Below are 19,861 nucleotides of genomic sequence, written 5' to 3'. Positions count from 1 at the left end.
TTAGATTCAGTTTGCTAGTATCTTGTTGAGGATTTTGGCTCTATGTTCATCGGGAATATTGGCCTGTAGTTTTCTTTTTTTTGTTGTTGTGTTCTTGTCTGGTTTGGGTATCAGGGTAATGGTGGCCTTGTAAAGTGAGTTTGGAAGTGTTCCCTCCTCTTTAGTTTTTTGGAAGAGTTTGAGTAGGATTGGTAATGGTTCTTCTTTAAATGTGTAGTAGAGTTCAGTAGTAAGCAAAACAGCATGTGCCTTCGGCTCCTGGAGCAGAGGATCCCTGTCTCTCAGTGCACGCACCATGCCTGGCATGGAACTGGCCTCGGACTCCACTTGCAGCCTTAATAACTCCATTCTTTGGATTTTGCTGTCTTATATTTGCCTTTCGTAGAAGGCTGAGAAGTAAAAAAGAAAAATACCACTGGACTCACCTTCATGAACTAGTTTCAAAAACTTTCTGCTCACAGAGTAAAAACACTTCATATTTAGATCAAGGAAATGAATTAAACCTAATCAGTTTAAAATCACCCTCACTAGACCACACTTTTTTCTTTTGAGATGGAGTCTCTGTCGCCCAAGCTGGAGTGCAGTGGCGCGATCACTGCAACCTTCACCTCCCAGGCTCAAGCTATTCTCCCGCCTCAGCCTCCAGAGTAGTTGGGACTACAGGCGTACACCACCACAATCTATTTTTGTATTTTTAATAGAGATGGAGTTTCACCATGTTGGCCATGCCGGTCTCAAACTCCTGACCTCAGGTGATCCACCCACCTCAGCCTCCCAAAGTGTTGGGATTACAGGCCTGAGCCACTGCACCCGGCCTACAACAACTGCTTTGAAAGGGCTTTTTCTCTATGATTAGGAAGATCCATGTTTAGAAGCTTGGTAAATAAATCCAAAACCTCTTCCCAGACAATGAATTGACCCTTCGATGTCCTATGTTTTTTTTTTTTTTTTACCTTTGCTAGTCACTGTATCAAAAGTAAAAAATATTTTTATAATCTTACTATTTTTCTTACATCACAACTTACATAAAATGAGATGCACTTCTTTTTAAAAAGTTTTCAAAAGCATTTTGTTGTGGTTTTAGATGATTAATAGGTGATCAGTTTGAAGAGTGAGAATGAAAAAACCAGCACATGTGGGGGAAGGCTGGGGAAGGGATTTGATTATATATTTAAGTGACTGAATTCAGTTCTCTCTCATTTCCTGGACAATAGTTCTGTTTTTTTCAGATTATTCTGATCATTTCAAATTAAAGCGAAGACACATGATCAGTTCTCAAGTCCTATGTTCTCATTAGGAAAAATAGAAAAACATGCAACTCTAGCTGAATATGGTGGAAAATATTTTGTTAGAGGTCCTTTCATAGGGCCTTTGTCCAGATGTTTGGACCGAGGCCCCCGAGGGCATGGAGAGCCAGCCTGAAGGACAGCGTAGGGTGTGCCTGCAGGGAAGGTCGTAGCTCACCAGTGACAGAAGAGGCAGACTCCCCTTCTTCCAGGCCTTGGTCTTCTACATCCTAGCTCAGTGGTCATTTATTTGTCAGGCCCTTCATTTTACTGATTTAATAACGTGTTTAAGGCAGGGTGCGGTGGCTCACGCCTGTAATCCCAGCACTTTGGGAGGCCGAGGTGGGTGGATCATCTGAGGTCAGGAGTTCGAGACCAGCCTGACCAACATGGAGAAACCCATCTCTACTAAAAAAAAAAAAAAAAAAAAAAAATACCCCGACGTGGTGGCGCATGCCTGTAATCCCAGCTACTTGGGAGGCTGAGGCAAGAGAATAACTTGAACCCATGAGGTGGAGGTTGCAGTGAGCTGAGATCATGCCATTGCACTCGAGCCTGGGCAACAAGAGTGAAATTCCGACTCAATAATAATAATAATAATAATAATAATAATAACAACAATAATAATAATGTGTTTAAATAATTTATCTCATATCTCTGCACCTTCACTCCATTTCTTTTCAAAGAAACAGAGAAAAACAAAAACAAAATGTCATAGTTCTGGGCCGGGCACGGTGGCTCACACCTGTAATCCCAGCACTTCGGAAGGCTGAGGTGGGTGGGTCATTTGAGGTCAGGAGTTTGAGACCAGCCTGGCCAACACGGTGAAACTCCACCTCTACTAAAAATGCAAAAATTAGCCGTGCGTGGTGGTGGGCATCTGTAGTTCCAGCTGCTTGGGAGGCTGAGGCAGGAGAATCGCTGAGGGAGCCCGGGAGGTGGAGGTTGCAGTGAGCTGAGATTGTGCCACTGCACTCCAGCCTGGGCAACAGAGCAAGACTCTGTCTAAAAAAAAAAAAATAAAAGTCACAGTTCTACTTGACCCAGCAGCAGGCTTTAAAACCAGAGGCTTTAATTCTCCCAATTTCCTCATTTGTCAAAATGCAGAAGCCAATCTAAGTAAATCACCTAGAACGGCAGCAAGCTACGTAAGTTCGGGGCTGAAATGTGATATTTCTTCTGAATCTCTCTTTTCTTACAACATCAGAGAAATGGGTAATAAATAGCACCAAACCCAGGGGCTCCACATTTATTCCTCTTTCCGGAGGAAATAAATTCTAGCCACCATATTTCTCAATAGGAACCGATATGTAAGGAGAATGAATTTATTCATTCATGAGTCATGTATTCAATCCTGATAAAAATACTTTATTCTGGTCTTCAATAGCAAATATGACCGGAGAGCCAGAGGGTCAGTGGTCCTGCTCTGAGCTGTGCAGGTGGGGCTGTCTCTGGGTAGTGGGAGGGTCGGGTGGGTGTTTCTGACCTGGGCGTCTTTGCCCAGAGGAGCAGAAGTGAACACACGCCCTCCCACTGGGCTCTTCTGCTGACGTGGGTTGGTAGGACGGTTATGGCTCAGCTTAGGGTCCGCAGCTGGGCAATGAGGAGACTGGAGGGGCCTTTCTCAGGTAGTGGCGTCTGGTAATCAGCAGATGGCGCCCGAGGTCGCTGGGCCCGCCCCGCGTGCGGGTCTTTCTGGTTGACTCCCCAGGCTCTTGCGTGGGAACTCACCACTGAGCACTGAACGCAGTTCCTCAGTCCGAGACCTCCTCACTCTCGCAGGACGCACAGTTGCACACACAAGTCCCTCACCTGTCACGACCCACGCTCTTACATACTCTCCCACTCCCACCCACACCCCCTCTCTCAGATGTGTGATCCAGGATTTCCTCTCCACCCACAGCCGCAGACGCCCCCACGGTTCGTGCAAATGTGCACACTCGGTGCAGCAGATCCCCGCCTCCTGCACACGTGCGCGTTTTTCCAGCCTCGCACTTTATCTCACACGTTTTCTCACCCAGAGACCCCATTTCAGACACACACACCCTCTCAGCCTTTTCTCTTGCCTCCCAACCCCTTAAAACGGAAATCCTTTATTTCCTCCGGAATTTGCTCACTTCGTGAAATGCCGGTCTGTCTTCTGGCGGATCCTATAGGGCAGCCCTTTCCTGCCCCTTGGTTCCAACAGCCCCTTTCATGCCAGTTTTTGTCACGTGCCTCTTACCATGCTGAAGTGAAATTGACCCAGCCATCACACAATGCCCTAACTCAGGGGTCTGCAAACAATGGCCCCAGAAAGCTGTTTGTTTTCCCCCAGCTTTATCTGAATATGCTTGAAAAGTAAACATTGTATATATTTAAAGTGGGCAACCGGATATTTAATACACATTGTGAAATGATCACCGCAAACTAAAACACCCACCATCTTACATTGTTACCACTTTCTTTCTTTTTTGGAGGTGGGGTGGTTAAGGATCTTAAGATCTACTCTCTTAAGAAATTTCAGGTATACAACAGAGTGTTGTTACACGCTGTACGTTACATCTCCAGAACTTACTCATCTTGTATAACTGACACTTTATACCCATTAAACAACACCCCGTTTTCTCCAACCCTCAGTCCCTGGCAACGACTATTCTACTCTACTCTCTGCTTCTATGAGTTTGGTTAGTTTAGATTCCACATATAAGTGAGATCATGCAGTATTTATTTATTTATTTATTTATTTATTTTTCTTGATGTGGAGTCTCGCTCTGTCGCCCAGGCTGGAGTGCAGTGGTGCCATCTTGGCTCACTGCGACCTCTGCCTCCTGGGTTCAAGCGATTCTGCCTCAGCCTCCCGAGTAGCTGGGACTACAGGCGTGCACCACCACAATCTATTTTTGTATCTTTAATAGAGATGGAGTTTCACCATGTTGGCCATGCTGGTCTCAAACTCCTGACCTCAGGTGATCCACCTGCCTCAGCCTCCTGAAGTGTTGGGATTACAGGCGTGAGCCACTGTACCAGGCTGAGATCATGCAGTATTAGTCTTTCTGTGCTTACTTATCTCACTTAGCATAGCAGGTTCATCCAGGCTGTTGGAAATGGCAGGATTTCCTTCTTTTTTGGAGCTGAATAATATTCCATTGCGTAGACACGTTTCCCTCACCCATTCATCTGTGGATGGATGTTATTTTCCATAATGGCTGTACAAGTTTACATTTTTACTAACAGTGTACAGTGATCCCTTTCCCCCACATCCTCAATAACAGTTGTTATCTTTCCTCTTTTGGATAATAGCCATTCTAACAGGTGTGAGGTGATGTCTCATTGAGGTTTTGATTTGCATTTCCCTGATGATTAGTGCTGTTGAGCACTTTTTCATACACCCGTTGGGCATTTATATGTCTTCTTTTGATAAATATCTGTTCAGGTTCTTTGCCCATTTTCAATCAGGTGATTTGTTTTTTGCTACTGTGTTCCATGAGTTCCGTATATATTCTTGATATTGCCTCCTTATGAGATGTACGGTTTGCAACGTCAGGAAGCTTTTCCCCTGTGTTTTCTTCTCGTAGTTTTATGATTTCAGGTCTTACATTGAAGTCTCTAATCCATTTTGAGTTGATTTAGAATATGCAAAGGAAGCACTTGAAAAAGCCAGCACTAGGTTGGGCAGATCCCTCCTGTGGGAAACTGACTTGGGATAAGAGCAGGACTGCCTGGCCCCCCAGTGAGAGGTGACAGCGTGCTAGCAGCCCTCGCTCGCTCTCAGCGCCTCCTCTGCCTGGGCTCCCACTTTGGCGGCACTTGAGGAGCCCTTCAGCCCGCCGCTGCACTGTGGGAGCCCCTTTCTGGTCTGGCCAAGACTGGAGCCGGCTCCCTCGGCTTGTGGAGAGGTGTGGAGGGAGAGGCGCGAGCAGGAACCAGGGCTGCGCGCAGCGCTTGCGGGCCAGTGCGAGTTCCAGGTGGGCGTGGGCTCGGCAGGCCCTGCACTCGGAGCGGCCGGCCGGCACCGCCGCCCCGGGCAGTGAGGGGCTTAGCACCTGGGCCAGCAGCTGCTGTGCTAGACTTCTCGCCGGGCCTTAGCTGCATCCCCGTGGGGCAGGGCTCGGGACCTGCAGCCCCCCATGCCTGAGCCTGAGTCTCCCCAACCTCCACCCCGCCCCCGTGGGCTCCTGCACTGCCTGAGTCTCCCCGACAAGTGCTGCCCCCTGCCCCACGGCGCCCAGTCCCATCGACTGCCCAAGGGCTGAGGAGCACGGGCGCACCTTGCGGGACTGGCAGGCAGCTCCACCTGCGGCCCTCGTGCGGAATCCACTGGCTGAAGCCAGCTGGGCTCCTGAGTCTGATGGGGACTTGGAGAACCTTTATGTCTAGCTAAGGGATTGTAAATACACCAATCGGCACTCTATATAGAGCTCAAGGTTTGTAAACACACCAATCAGCACCCTGTGTCTAGCTCAGGGTTTGTGAATGCACCAATGGACACTCTGTATCTAGCTACTCTGGTGGGGACTTGGAGAACTTTTGTGTCTAGCTCAGGGATTGTAAATGCACCAATCAGCACCCTGTCAAAACGGACCAATCAGCTCTCTGTAAAATGGACCAATTGGCTCTCTGTAAAATGGACCAATCAGCAGGATGTGGGTGGGGCCAGATAAGAATAAAAGCAGGCTGCCAGAGGTAGTAGTGGCAACCCGCTCCGACCCGTTTTCATAGTGTGGAAGCTTTATTCTTTTGCTGTTTGCAATAAATCTTGCTACTGCTCATTCTTTGGGTCCACGCTGCTTTTATGAGCTGTAACACTCACTGTAAAAGTCTGCAGCTTCACTCTGGAACCAGCGAGACCACAAACCCACCGGAAGGAAGAAACTGCAAACACATCCGAGCATCAGAAGTAACAAACTCCAGACAGGGGGCCTTTAAGAACTGTAACACTGGCCACGAGAGTCCGCGGCTTCATTTTTGAAGTCAGTGAGACCAAGAACCCACCAATTCCGGACACAGTACTTGCTGCCTCTCTATATCATCTCCTCTGAAGGCAGGTATTTGCCTACACAGTCTGCTGAGTACTAAGTGCAACACACACTGCAGGGGCTTCCCAGAGCCCTACTCGGATTCAGGTGGATTCTTATGCAGATGGTGAAAAAGGTCAAAAGTTTGAACTGGGAATCAATTGCTGTAAGTTTCTCTATGATATTCTCCCAGCAAGATGTCTTCCTTGTAATAACTTGGGAGAACGTTGACTCCAGGGTAGGAGAGTGTTCCTGAGGAGTCGGCACACTTTATGGCTGGCCCCAGGCCGTGGGTCAGAAAAATCCACAGCTGGCCACACCATTCTGTGCAGCGGGAAAAACCATCAGTTGAAGGTACTGTGGAAAATCAGTTAAGCTCATTCAATCATCCTGGTTCCTGGTGGGTTCAGTGTCCCATATTTAAGACAAAACTCTTAACACTGTTATGCTGTGGTCTTCTTTGAGTTCATCTGTGAAAAATCTAAATTGTTAAGTCAATCACTAGTCTTACAACTAGAAAAGAAACATACTATGTAAAGTTGCGACACTTTTCATAGAAAGCAACATCTCAATCTAATGTTACATATTCAGGTGAGTGTTAAACATCATCTGAGATGAGCTCTTCTCTGGGCTCAGCCACATCTCTCAAGATCCCAAGAGAATCAAAAGGTTGAAGTGTGAATCAATTTGTATGAATTTCTCATAAATCCTGTCAACAAGATGTCAACAGCTGTCTTTATCGTCATACATTTGGGAGGCTGTTGCCTCCAGGATCTGACAGTGGTTACCAAGGAGTCAGCACCGTCTATTGCTGGCCCCACGCAGTGGGTCAGAAAAACCCACAACTGGGCAGACAATTGAGTTCATCCCAGAAAACCATCCATTGAAGGTGCTGTGGAAAGTCAGTGAAGTTCATTCAATCATCAAGATTCTAGGGGGTTCTGTGTCCCGTACTGAAGTCAGAACTCTCACACTGTTACGCCTTAGTCTTCTTGCAGTTCATCTACACACATCTAAAATGAAGTCATTGCTGTTTCTGCAACTGTAGAAGTAAAGATGTATTTACAATTTAAAGGATGGTACCATTTTACTGGAAAGCAACGTCTCAATCTTATGTTGACACATTCACCTGAGTGTTAAACATCCACTCAAAAGAGTGTTGCCAACCTTGACTAAAATAGTCATTGTGTAGAACAGTTTGAAATTAACATGAAAATGGAACAGACAGAACAGAAAGGTCTCAGATCCTTTGTCCACCCTTTTCTTTTCTTAACCCCATTTTCAGTGGTGTGGTCCATGTGTGTAACAATGACTAAACCAATATGGATACATTTTTACGATCTGAAGTCAGGAGTTTGCATGGAGGTTCACCGTGTTGTGCCCTCTATGGGTTGTGACAAACTCCGAATGCCATTCACCACCCATACGAAGTAGCTGCATGCCTTAAACACTTCCTGTGTTTCCCCTGTGCATCCCTCTCCCCTTTGCCAGAAGCCCTGGCAACAAGAATCCTTTTCACTGTGTCTAGAGTTTTCTCTCCCAGAATTGTATAGGCTTGGAATCATGGAGTAGGCAGCTTTTTCAGACGGCCTTATCCTCCTCAGCAATATTCATTCACTGCCAGCATCTGTCTTTGAGGTCACCCCATGGTCGCCACTCCCCCTTCCCAGCTTTTCCTTGCAAGGTCTCTTGTTGGCTCCAGTGGGAGCTTCTTCCCATCTGCCCAGGCCCTTCCAACGCCCCCCAGTGTCAGCAAGGCCTGGACCAGGGACACCAGCAGCCCCCTGCACTGGAGTCCTGTGGCTCCACCCCAAGTTTGAAATTTCCCAGTAACCCTGCAGCCACTGCCCAGCCAGTTCTGGTAGAAATCAGGGAAAGAAGGATCTTCCATGCACTCAGCGACCTTCTCAACTGAAGTCTAAAGTTTCACTACAGATAATGTTGCCAAGAATGTGGAAAATCTGCCTCCCATCATCACCTCTGCCAGCCACGGCTTCTGTGTGGTTGGGCCACATGCACTGTGTAAAATGACAAAGGGGCTTCATCAATGGCTGAGCATCAGGGCAGGCACATGGCTCTGTTCCTAGGAGGAGGACATGTTAGGTTGTGCATTGCAGGGTGGGGAAAGATCAAGTCAGTGTAATGACAAAGAAATCCCCACCCGATTCCCTGCCGAACCTCCTGGGTGAAATAGGTGTCTGCTGGCTTCTGAGGGCCTTTGCAAGAAAACAGGATTCTTGCTTAAGCAAAAGTAGGTGTAAAATGAGGCATACTATGGCTTGAGGAACCATTTGGATCATGAACACCACGTGAAATGCTTTGTATCATCATAGAAATCCATTAGCCTGCAATTGACCTCTTGATATTTATCCCCACAAAGCAAAAAGATGAGACTGCTCCATTTGAAAAGGGTCACTTTTGCCTACAGAAACATGCTTCTCATAACAAGGCTGTCCTAGACATTTCTTACTCTCTAGAACACAGTTTCCCAGTGGTGCTTGAGAAAAAACCCAAGGTGAGGACCTCAATGCTAAAAGCAGTGACGACAAGATCAAGGACTCCAGGAATCCAGAGATGGCCGCTCAGTGGACTCTGTGGGAGAAGGCAGGGCTCCGGCCCCAGGCTGGGCCTGCAGAGGGAGAAGATATAGAGGGATAGAAGGAAGTCACAAGGGTCCCCGGGCCCGGTGAGTTGGGGTTGGGGAGGATAGATTCCAGGGTTTTAATGTCAGGAGACTCATGACATCATCATCCCCTGAGTCCTATGATTTTCCTGCTCCTTCTAAGTGGGAAAGAGCAGGGGGGACGGTCCTGGCTGGAGTGACCCTGCATGGACATCGCTGACATTTCTTAAGAGAGGGTAGTTCCTTCCTGTTGAAGCTGTGACAGGAGCTGGGGACGGGCGTCTTCATCATGCTGTGTGACAAAGCAGGCCTTTCCATCCTGGAAGCTGGCGAGAGGCAGAGAGTAGGAATCAGGTTTCCGGTCCTCTGAGCCAGACTGGGGGACATAGTTCAGCAGGGATGGTGTCAAGGTCAGGCCAGACACACAGAAGTTCCCAGACTGACCTTCCTGGGGCTCATAGTTCAGCAGGGATGGTTGTCAAGGTCAGGCCAGACACACAGAAGTTCCCAGACTGACCTTTCTGGGGCTGGACAGAAACCAGTTTCCATCTTCCACCTGCTTCTGGAAGTTGCCTGTCAAGCGCCCTCTGTAGACAGCACTAGCCAAAGATTGCCTGGCCCAGAAGTGCATTGAAACTGAAGGCAGTGTGGCCCCACCTGGCCAGGGCAGCTGCTCACACTGTAGCTCCCTGGAAGGAGCGAGGGCACCGGCTCCCGTTCAGGGCAAGCTCAGCAAAGTGATGGAGGCTGATCCCAGAGCCCAGATCATCCTTGATCCTCTGTTTCACAGCCCAGAGGACGTGGGTTTGAGATTTTCTCTGAAATGGTCTTAGAGTTCTCAGGCCCAAACTCTTGAGTCCTCGCACTCATGGGGATCCGCAATGCGGCTGCAGCTGTTCAGTGCAGGGGCAGGAATGTGCCCTCCGCATTTCCTCTCATCACAGCGCTCAGCCCTGGGCAGCCTGTCTTAGGCCACATGAAGGTCTCATGAAAACACCCCTGGGCTGGGCTCTAGCTCGAGTGGGCAAAGGTTCCCTCCTCACACTGTTCAGCCTGTTGGACCTTCTCACTGAACGAGGCGTCTTCCCAGGATCTGACCCAAGTCAGAGGGTGGTGAGGGTGGGCTCCTGCAGACCCTGGGATGTCCATTTTCCTGGGGTCTCTCTGCTCTGATGCTGTTTAGACAAGGTTGGTTTCACTTCTCTGTGTGCAAGTGTAACCCCCTCCCCACGGCTTCCCTCTAGGCCAAGGCACTGTCCTCATGGTTGTATCCCCATATCTCACACAGTGCCTGGCCCTTGTGCAGGTGCTAAAAAAAATCCTGTTTCCTTGCAGAGGCCCTCAGAAGCCACACATGAATGATGGGATCAGAGCACCCAACCCCACTGCAAGGAAACACCCAGGGAGGGAGTCATGTCCTTTTCATGTTTGTATCTCTAGAGCTGCAGCATCTAGCGTGGGAATCCCAGCCTGGAGGTGCTGTGTATAACTCATTCATTCATTAGTGCAGTTAATCACAATAAAATGAGAAATTCCAATCTTCATTCACACTGGCCACATTTCCAGTGCCCCACAGAGTTTGTGCCAGCGGCCACCTTATGCAACAGCACAGAGAACATTTCCATCCACACAGAACACACTCTTGGGAACCTGCTCTGAGCCTGGCATGGGGTCTGTTCATGGAACTCATCTAACTAAGAAACCTGTGCATCAAAGTTGGAATTTCAGGTGAATGGGACTGGAGGAACGAGCTCTAACGATCCAGCGGAAATGCGGAAGTGGGAAGATGATGGGGGTGCTCTCTCCTGAGGGTTTGCACCCGTGAGCTGTGTCTTGTTAGAGACTCTGGACTCCACAGAGTTAAAGGAGGGTTGAACAGACCAAGAGAGAGAGCAGGGTGGTCTTGTGTGATCCAGCTTGACCTCAGCTGGAGGAGGAGGGATGGATGAACCTTCCTCTGGAATAATTGTCTTCCCACTTTTGTCTCTAGAGACTCCATTGTCAACAGAAGACATGATTCAAGCAGTGATGAAGAAGACACTCCAGGTTTAAAACAACCCAGGAGGGACCCAACGAAGGAGGGTGCCTGTAGCAGTTGGGGTTGGCCTGCTGCCTTAGAGACTGAGGAAGTGGGGGATGAAATTAGAAAGTGAAAGGAAACGTGTATGGAAGGCTGCTTTGTCCTTGTCATCCTTACTGACTCAATAGGGAGAGGTTTGGTGCCTCTGGGCTTTGAGTGTGCAGTGTTTGTCATCATCTTTTCTTGCTGTGATTTTTTAAAAATGATCTTTCCCGGAAAACCGTGTCTTTCCTGCCTTTGCGTCAGTAAAACTCCAAAGTCTTTGGTGATGTTTGGCAGCACCTCCTGCGTCTTGGTGAGGAAGAATGTGAGCAAGGAGGTGCCCATGATGTGCTGGAGCATTCACTGCCTCTTCCCAGCCAGGCCTGAGTCGGGGATGCTCAGACAGCTGCTCAGATCTTTAGTCCATAAAGGGAAAGGGAAGCAGGGGGCTGACGGGCTTCACTGATTGAGATAGCAGAGCACCAGTCCAGCAGGCCTCCTCCCCAGTTAACTCGCCTTCCCTGCTCGTAAGAGTTTGTCAGTTACAGTGAAGCGAATTCTTTGGGAGGCTCTGTCCTATGGGTGTGGCTGGCATGGGAGTCCTGAGCTCTGAGCCAGTGGGGAGTCAAGAAGGACACTAGTCATTCAGGGTGGTCGCTGGCACATCCAGAAGCCTCACCTTGAGGTGGCTCATGGTGTGAAGGTGCTGGGGCAGGAGTGGCGCAGATTGGACACCCTGATCCTTCAAAGGGTCTTCATTTGGGGTCAGCTGCATCATATTTTGGGTCAAGGATTACAACATAGATGCAGGAGGCTGTGTCAGCCACCTCCTGCAGGACATCACCTCTCTCCAAAGTAATCCTGGAACAAGAGGATTTGGGAAATGGGGTGAGGGAAGCCCTGGGTCAGGCACCCAGGGCATGATCTAGAGGAAACTGGGCTTCAGGGATCTCCGTCTCCAGGAAACCAACTACGTTCCCGGCTCAGCCTCGTCCCTCCTTAGTGTTGTGACTCTGGGTATGTCACTTAGGCCCTGTCAATTTTAGTGTCCTCAACTGTAAAATGTGGGTCACAGCCCTGCTCCGCCCACTTCACGGGGCTCCTGTGAGGGTCATGAGGGATGACAACAGATCCTCTTCAGGAGCTAGAAGTTCCTGCCCATGGAAAGGCTGGAAAGTGACTCGTGACTTGTAGCCACTCTGAGGCAACCACTACTACAGATCTCCTTCATTCCCTCAGACATTATGTATTTGAGCAGTTTTCTAGCACTTATGAAGTGTCAGTCATTTTTCTGTTGGCTTCGTTTGGGTCTGCTTCTAGGTAGGATCTGAGCCCAGGACATCAGGCACCTGCCACTTGCTCTAAGTCACTGAGCTCAGCTGCCCTCCTGAATTGTCTCATTAGAGTAACGTCCCCACGCAATCATCCGGGTGTTATGTGAAGTGCTCACAGCACCTCAGGACGCCTCCCGCTAAGCCAGCTTTGACTCGGTTGCTCCCCGAGGCAGCTGTTGGAGACAAGTGTGACTTGGGAAAGGTGAACACCTGCCCACCGTCTCCTGCCTGCACCGTATCAACAGGGGGCTCTATTTTCAATGCATTTTTCCAAAGCTCATGGCTCAGAGATACAACAAGAACAGATCATGGAAGATTCAAATCCAGACTATGCCAGAAAAGTGATCTGGGCTGAAGAAAACCTCCTGGCCATTCCCAGAAGCATCCCGTCGGCATCTGGGCAAAGGCAGGAGGAGCCTCAGACATCACCACCTGCCAGCTCCTCCACTGAAGGCGTCCTGGACCTGAAGCTATCAGGAGATTGGAATCATTGCTGTGGTTTGTACAGCAGGGCCTGAGTCTTGGTGAGGAAGGACAGGAGCAGGGAGGCGCCCACTCAGAGCTGGGGCAGCCACTGCCTCTTCTCAGCCAGGCCTGAGTCCAGACTGCTGGGGCAGCTGCTGTGATCAAGAGGAGGCACTGAGACCCTGGCAGCTTGCCGGCTTCACTCCCTACGCTGCCCAAGCCCCAGCCCAGCAGGCCGCTTTTTCATTGAAAGAATCTGCACTGCCCAGCAGCCCGGTTTGGTCAGTTGAAGGTGAATCTGATTCAAAGTCCAACGGTCACGTGGGCAGTTGGTGGGGGACCTCCTGCATTCCGAGTCGGTTGGGAGTCAAGGAGGCTACTGGTCATTCAGGGCAGTCACCAGACCACAGGGAAGTCTCTTCACAAGGCAACCACAGAGTCAAGTGTGGTGGGAGACAGACACAAATTTGGACCCCACGCATTCAGCAGGGCTTCATTTGGGGGAAAGTCATCACATCTTGGGTCAGGGGTTGAAATGTAAAGCTGGGAGTTGAGTCAGGGTTTGGGCCCTTCTCTTGGGCCAAGCACCTCCTCCAGGCAACAGTGTCTCCCTGCAGCAGCCGTGGGGGTGGGAGGATTTGGGAAAGGAGTAAGGAGGTTCCTCGGTTCAGCGTCCAGGGCATGATCTAATGGTCTTGATGCAGGCGAACTCCAAAATTGGACCTTAGGCCATGACGGTCCTTGGATTTGCTCAGGAAACAAGAGCCAGCCAATGGTGAAAGCCGGCAAGTTTGTGTGAACAACAGTGTCTGCCAAAATGGCTGTTCCACAGACAGAGCAGGGCTGTCCCAGAGGCGTGTAGCACCAGTGGCATGATGGCTAGCTTTATTTATACCTACTCTTAATTATATGCCAATTAAGGGGTGGGCTATTCACGATTTTCTGGAAAAGAACCAGGAGTCCCGGAACCATATGGTAACTTCCGGGTCATTGCCATGGCATTTGTAAACTGTCATGGCCCTGGTGGGGGTGACTCAAGAGTATACAATAGAATTCCTAGTCCTAGCTGGTTTGGGCTGGTTTCTTTGCTACATCTTGTTTTCATCAGCAGGGCTGTGATAGTTGCTCAGAAAGTGAGTCCTGTTGATCTCCTGCCTCAGTCTCAGGTGTTCAGGGATCTCCATCCCTTGGGAGCCAACTAAATTCCCTGCCTGAGCTTCATTATTCATCAGTGTTGCTATTCTGAGCACGTCACTGAATCTCTGTCAATTTCAGTGCCCTGAACCATAAAGTAAATGTTACAGCCCCTGCTCTGCCCATCCAGGAGGTGTAAAGTGTCGTGCACATGCCCATGTGGAATAGTAGGGCCCTGTCCTTCCCCCGTCTGTCACCCTCCATGTTGCCTCTCTGGGGGTCACCAATGCTGCTTGTCTTTTTTATTTTTCCAGATGTGTAATCATTGAACACTTAGGTAGGCAGTGCTTATGAAGTACCCGTCATTTTTCTCTAGGCTGTGTCTGTGTTTACCTTTAGCCCTTATAACATGGTAGTACTACGCAAGCCCTAGTAACATGTTCTCACCCCAGAACAGAGAGCTGAGGACAAAGGGACTGAGTGACAGTCCCAGGCACACGTGGCTTTGATCTCAAGCCATCAGGCACCAGCACCCATGCTCTGGTCACTGTGTTGTGCTGACTTTCTACACTGTTATCTAAAGAAAGCCACTGTTCCCACACAATCCCTCTGTGGGGTATTTTAGGCACACCACACTGCAGGATCCCTCTTCCTAACTCCACTTTCATTCAAATGCCCCACTGGACAGTTAGTGATAAGAAGATAATGGATTCCAATAAAGGATGTACATGGGGATGGATTCTTGGGGAAGAAAATGTACCCCCTGGCCCCACAGCTGTTCAGCAGCATCAAAACCGGATCTGGCTAAAGAACGAGGTTAAGCCTCAAATATCATCCTGTACCACCCCCTCCACTGAAGTGCCTGCGGGAATTTAATCATTGAATTTATTCACTAGCAATTGTTGCAGTTTAGTGCATCATATTTAGAAACAAAATAAATTGTTGTCATATTCTTTTGTATTGATATATAATGAAATATAATTCACATTCCATAAATGCACCTTTTTGAAGGATACAATTCAGTGGTTTTTAGTATATTCTGGTTTTGCCATCGTCCCCACTACCTAATTCTAGTACTTCACCACTCCAAAGAGAAACCCCTTGCCCATGTCAGCCAACCCCATTCTCTCCACACACCCTGCCCTGCCAGCCTCTAATCTGCTTTCTGTCTGCGAATTTTTGTATTCTGTGTATTTCATATACATAGAATCATACAATGGGCTGTCTTCTATGTCCTGGCTTCTTCAGTAGGCAGAAAGTATTCACGTTCACCTGTGTTGTGGCCATACCTGGACCTTACCTGTTTATGGTGGAATACCATCCATTGTGTGAGCATAACTCGTTTCGTTTTTCCATTTATCAGTGATGGACAGATGCGTTATTTTCATTTTTTGGCTACTATCAATAGTGCTGCTATGAACACCCATCTTCGAGTTGTTGTATAAACGTATGATTTTTTTTTTTTTTTGAGATGGAGTTTCACTCTTGTTGCCCAGGCTGGAGTGCAATGATGCGATCTCGGCTCACCACAACCTCCACCTCCCAGGTTCAAGCAATTCTCCTGCCTCAGCCTCCTGGGTAGCTGGGATTACAGGCATGCACCACCACACCCAGCTAATTTTGTATTTTTAGTAGAGACGGAGTTTCTCCATGTTGAGGCTGGTCTCGAACTCCTGACCTCAGGTGATGCGCCCGCCTCGGCCTCCCAAAGTGCTGGGATTACAGGTGTGAGCCACCGCGCCTGGTGAACATATGATTTTTATTTCTCCTGGATATATATCTAGCATTGGAACTGCTAGGCCATATTCGTAGCTCTGTGAGTAACTGTCTGAGGAATCACCAAAGTCTTTTTTCCTTTTTATATTTGCACAGGCAATGTGGGAAGGTCCCAATTTCTGTAATCATTGCTAACACTTGTGTTTGCTTTTTAAATTATAGCCATGCTAGTGGATGTGAAGTGATATTTCAGGGGTTTTGATTGGCATTTCCCTATTAACTAATGATTTTAAACATGTTTTCATTTATTTATTGCCAATTTGTGTATCTTCTTTAGGGCAGTATCTATGCAAATCCTATTTTAATTTTGAAAATTTGTTAGACATTTTATTTTTGATTTGCTAGTGTTCTTTATCTCTTCTGGATAATAGACCTTATCAGATACATGAATTGCAGATAATTTATTCAACTCTGTGTTTTTGTATCCCTTTCATGATGGTGTTCTTTGAAACACAAAAGATTTTAAGTTTGGTGAAGTCCTATTTATTTTACCTCTGGTTGCTTGTACTTGCGGTGACACATGTAAGAATTCATTGCCAAATGTTAGAAAATGAAGATCTATGCCCTTTTTTTCTGAGATTCATATAGTTTAGCTCTTTAATGTTTTTTGTTTTATGTTTTATCAAAGTCTTAAGCCTTTAATCCATTTTTAATTATTATTATTATTATTATTATTATTTTGAGACAGAGTTTCGCCGTGTCTCCCAGGCTGGAGTGCAATGGCGTGATCTTGGTTCATCCCAACCTCCGCATCCCGGGTTCAAGCGATTCTCCTGCCTCAGCCTCCCGAGTAGCTGGGATTACAGGCATGTGCCACCATGCCTGGCTAATTTTTGTATTTTCAGTGGAGTTGGAGTTTCACCATGTTGGTCAGGTTAATCTCAAAACTCCTGAACTCAGGTGATCTACCCGCCTTCGCCTCCCAAAGTGTTGGGATTACAGGCATAAATTAACTTTCGTGTATGGTGTGAGTTAGCTGTCCAACCTCATTCTTTGCATGTGGATGCTCATTGTCCTGGCACCATTTGTTGTAAAGAATATTCTGTCTTTGGCCTTGCCACACTTTTTAAAAATTGACAGTAAATGTGAGGGTTTACTTCCAGACTCTCAATTCTATTTCATGGATGTATACATCCATCTTTTCACCAGTTCTGCACAGATTGATTATACTACCTTTATATTAAGTTTTTAAGTTGGGAAGTCTGAGTCCTTGTTCTTTTTTAAGATTATTTTCTCTACATTGGTTTCTATTCCTTTATGAGTTTTGGGATCACCTTGTCAGTTTCAAGGCAGCTGGAATCCTTACAGGAATTTGCTGAATCTGTCAATGAATTAGGGGAATATAACATCTTAAGTATAAGTACTCCAGTCTGTGAACATATGTCTTTTCATTTATTAGATCTTTTAAAATTTATTTAAATGATGTTTCATAGTTCTCAATGTACAAGTTTTGTACTTCTTTTGATGAATTCATTTCTATGTATTTATTTGTTTGTTTATTTATTTATTTGAGATGGAGTCTTGCTCTGTTGCCCAGGCTGGAGTGCCTTGTCATGATCTCAGCTCACTGCAACTTCTGCCTCCCCGGTTCAAGAGATTCTCTTACCTCAGCCTCCCAAGTAGCTGGGACTTCAGGCATGTGCCACCACTCCTGGCTAATGTTTGTGTTTTTAGTAGAGACAGAGTTTTACCATGTTGGCCAGGCTGGTCTCAAACTCCTGACCTCAAATTTTCCGCCCACCTCAACCTCCCAAAGTACTGGGATTACAGGCATGAACCACAGTGCCTGGCCTCTAAGTATTTATTTCTGATGCTATTGCAAAAGGAATTTTTTCTTAATTTCAAGTTCAGATTGTTTATTGCAAGTTCATAGAAATACAATTGATTGGTTTATCAAGCCTCCAAGCCTTGTCAAAGGTTTATTATTTCTCAATATAGGATTATGTTCAAAGAACCTCGAAATCTTCTCTTATGGACAAGTGGAAGAATAAACTCATATAAACTTTCTGGAAAGCAAGTTGGCTAGTTATCAAGATCCTTAAAATGCACCATATCCTTTGACACAGTAATTCTTGCCCAAGAAATTTTTTTTATTTCATTGTAAGTTGACAATTTATAATTGTATATATTTATGAGGTGCAAAGTGATATTGTGATTTACAAATATAATGTGGGATAATTAAATCAAGCTAATTGATATATACACAACCTCAATTACTTATCATTTTTGTGGTGAGAAAAATTATTACCTGTTGATTTTGTATCCTGTAATATTGCTGAACTTGCTTATTAGTCCAAATAGTTTTTCATTTATTTCTTATGGTTTTCTATACAGTGTCATGTCATCTGCAAATTGGGACAGTTTTATTTCTTCCCTGCCTATTTGTATGCTTTTTATTTCTTTTTCTTGCCTAGTAGTTGTAGCTGGAATTTCCATTACAGTGTTGGGTCAAAAGTGATGAGAGTTGGCCAGGCGCGGTGGTTCACGCCTGTAATCTCAGCACTTTGGGAGGCCGAGGCAGGCAGATCACCCGAGGTTAGGAGTTCGAGACCTGTCTGACCAACATGGAGAAACCCCATCTCTGCTAAAAATACAAAATTAGCCAGGTGTGGTGGCGCGTGCCTATAATCCCAGCTACTCAGGAGGCTGAGGCAGGAGAATCGCTTGAACTCGGGAGGCGGAGGTTGCAGTGAGCCGAGATCATGCCATTGCACTCCAGCCTGGGCGACAAGAGCAAGACTCTGTCTTAGAAAAAAAAAAAAAGGCGGGGGGCGGGGGGTAGGGTGAGAGTGGACATCCTTATCTTCTTTTAATATCGGGGGAAATTTTTCAGTCTTTTACCATTAAGTATAAAGTAGTGGTGGGTTTTTCATAGGTGCCCTTTATAAGGTTGAGGAAGTTAGCTTCTATTCCTAGTTTTTCAACTATTTTTATTATGATAGGGCGTTGCATTTTGCCAAATCATTTTTTAGTCTATTGAGATGATTATGCTTTTTTTGTTTGTTTTTCTGGTTGCTTGGAGTTTATTTTCCACTTGGTGCCAGGTGCACATTTTCAGGTATCAAGAGAGCTCACAAGTACTGGGGCAGTAGGGAGCAGGGCTTTCTCACTCCTTTTCAGTGTCTGCTGTGTTGATGTGAAAGTCAACTTGCTGCAGCTGCCTAGTCCTACAGGGTGAGGAGCTGGGAGGGAGACAGACAGGGCCTCTGGTGGCCTAGTCCCTCCATAGGCCTGGGGCTGGTGGTGGCCACTCAGGTCAGGACAGGGGTCCAGGATGGGGCTGTGCTGGACCGGCCACCGGGCTGCTTCCTCGGGGTTTCCCGAGCCAGGCCCCAGGTGGTCATGCTGCTGCAGGCCTGGGGGGTTCCGGGTGCTCTACCAACTCCAACACCGTGGCCATGAACAGGAGGGTGGACTTCCCGAAAAATAAGCTGGCCCACCAGTGACCTGGGTCAGCCTTGGGGAAAGCCGGTGGGTGGGGGATGGCTTCCCCAGGGCACTTGGTATTGCCACAGGAGCTGCTGCTGGAAGTGGAACCCAGGCGGCCTGGGCGGCGACCCCTCTCTGGCCTTGGCACACGATCACAGGTGGTGGGGTCAGGGGCACTGGGCCACGGAGCCCATTTGCAGAGGAGACCTGGGGAGGCTGCTCCATGATCAAGACACAGGCGCACAAGAGATGATTATGCATTTTTAACCTTGTTTTATTAATATGGTATATTAACATTGATTGATACAAATTTTTGGAACCAACCTTGCGTTCCTAAAATTAATCCCATTTGGTCATCATGCATCATTCTCTCTTTTTTCTTTTTCTTTTCTTTTCTTTTCTTTTTTTTTTTTTGAGACAGGGTCTCACTCTGTCGCCCAGGCTGGAGTGCAGTGGCTCTCCATAGCTCACTGCAGCCTTGACCTCCCCAGATTCAGGTGACCTTCCCACCTCAGCCTCCCAAGTAGCTGGGACTACAGTAGTATGCCACTACGCCCAGCTAATTTTTTTTTGTATTTTTTGTAGAGATGAGGTTCCACCATGTTACCCGGGCTGGTCTTAAACTCCTGGGCTCAAGCGATATGCCTGCCTTGGCCTCCCGAAGTGCTGGGATTACAGGCGTGAGCCACCCTGCCCGGCCCGTGTATCATCTTTTTTGTTGTTGTTGTTGCATTCGGTTTGCAAGTATTTTGTTG

At 47.3% G+C, this 19,861-nt stretch overlaps 1 long non-coding RNA gene across 2 annotated transcripts in view, besides 1 other annotated feature; it reads left to right on the top strand.

The window, feature by feature from the left end:
• Window positions 5,478–5,979: an enhancer, noted in NCBI's record as "H3K4me1 hESC enhancer chr12:121530887-121531388 (GRCh37/hg19 assembly coordinates)". NCBI's record gives its function as "activates a minimal SCP1, AML or CMV promoter by ChIP-STARR-seq in naive H9 embryonic stem cells {active_cell/tissue: H9 hESC(naive)}" and the evidence as "EXISTENCE:reporter gene assay evidence [ECO:0000049][PMID:30033119]".
• The window catches only part of LOC105378258 (uncharacterized), a 33,706-nt gene continuing 19,912 nt past the window's right edge, over window positions 6,068–19,861 (top strand). For both annotated transcript variants that reach the window (XR_007063492.1, XR_945451.4), the window contains exon 1: window positions 6,068–13,059. This is a non-coding gene — a long non-coding RNA (uncharacterized LOC105378258). The remainder of the gene's footprint in view (window positions 13,060–19,861) is intronic.

Source organism: Homo sapiens, chromosome 12 (genome assembly GCF_000001405.40).
Source record: "Homo sapiens chromosome 12, GRCh38.p14 Primary Assembly".
Lineage (NCBI taxonomy): Eukaryota > Metazoa > Chordata > Mammalia > Primates > Hominidae > Homo > Homo sapiens.
Note: the sequence above shows the minus strand (reverse complement) of the source record. Positions and strands in the feature narration are given on the sequence as shown.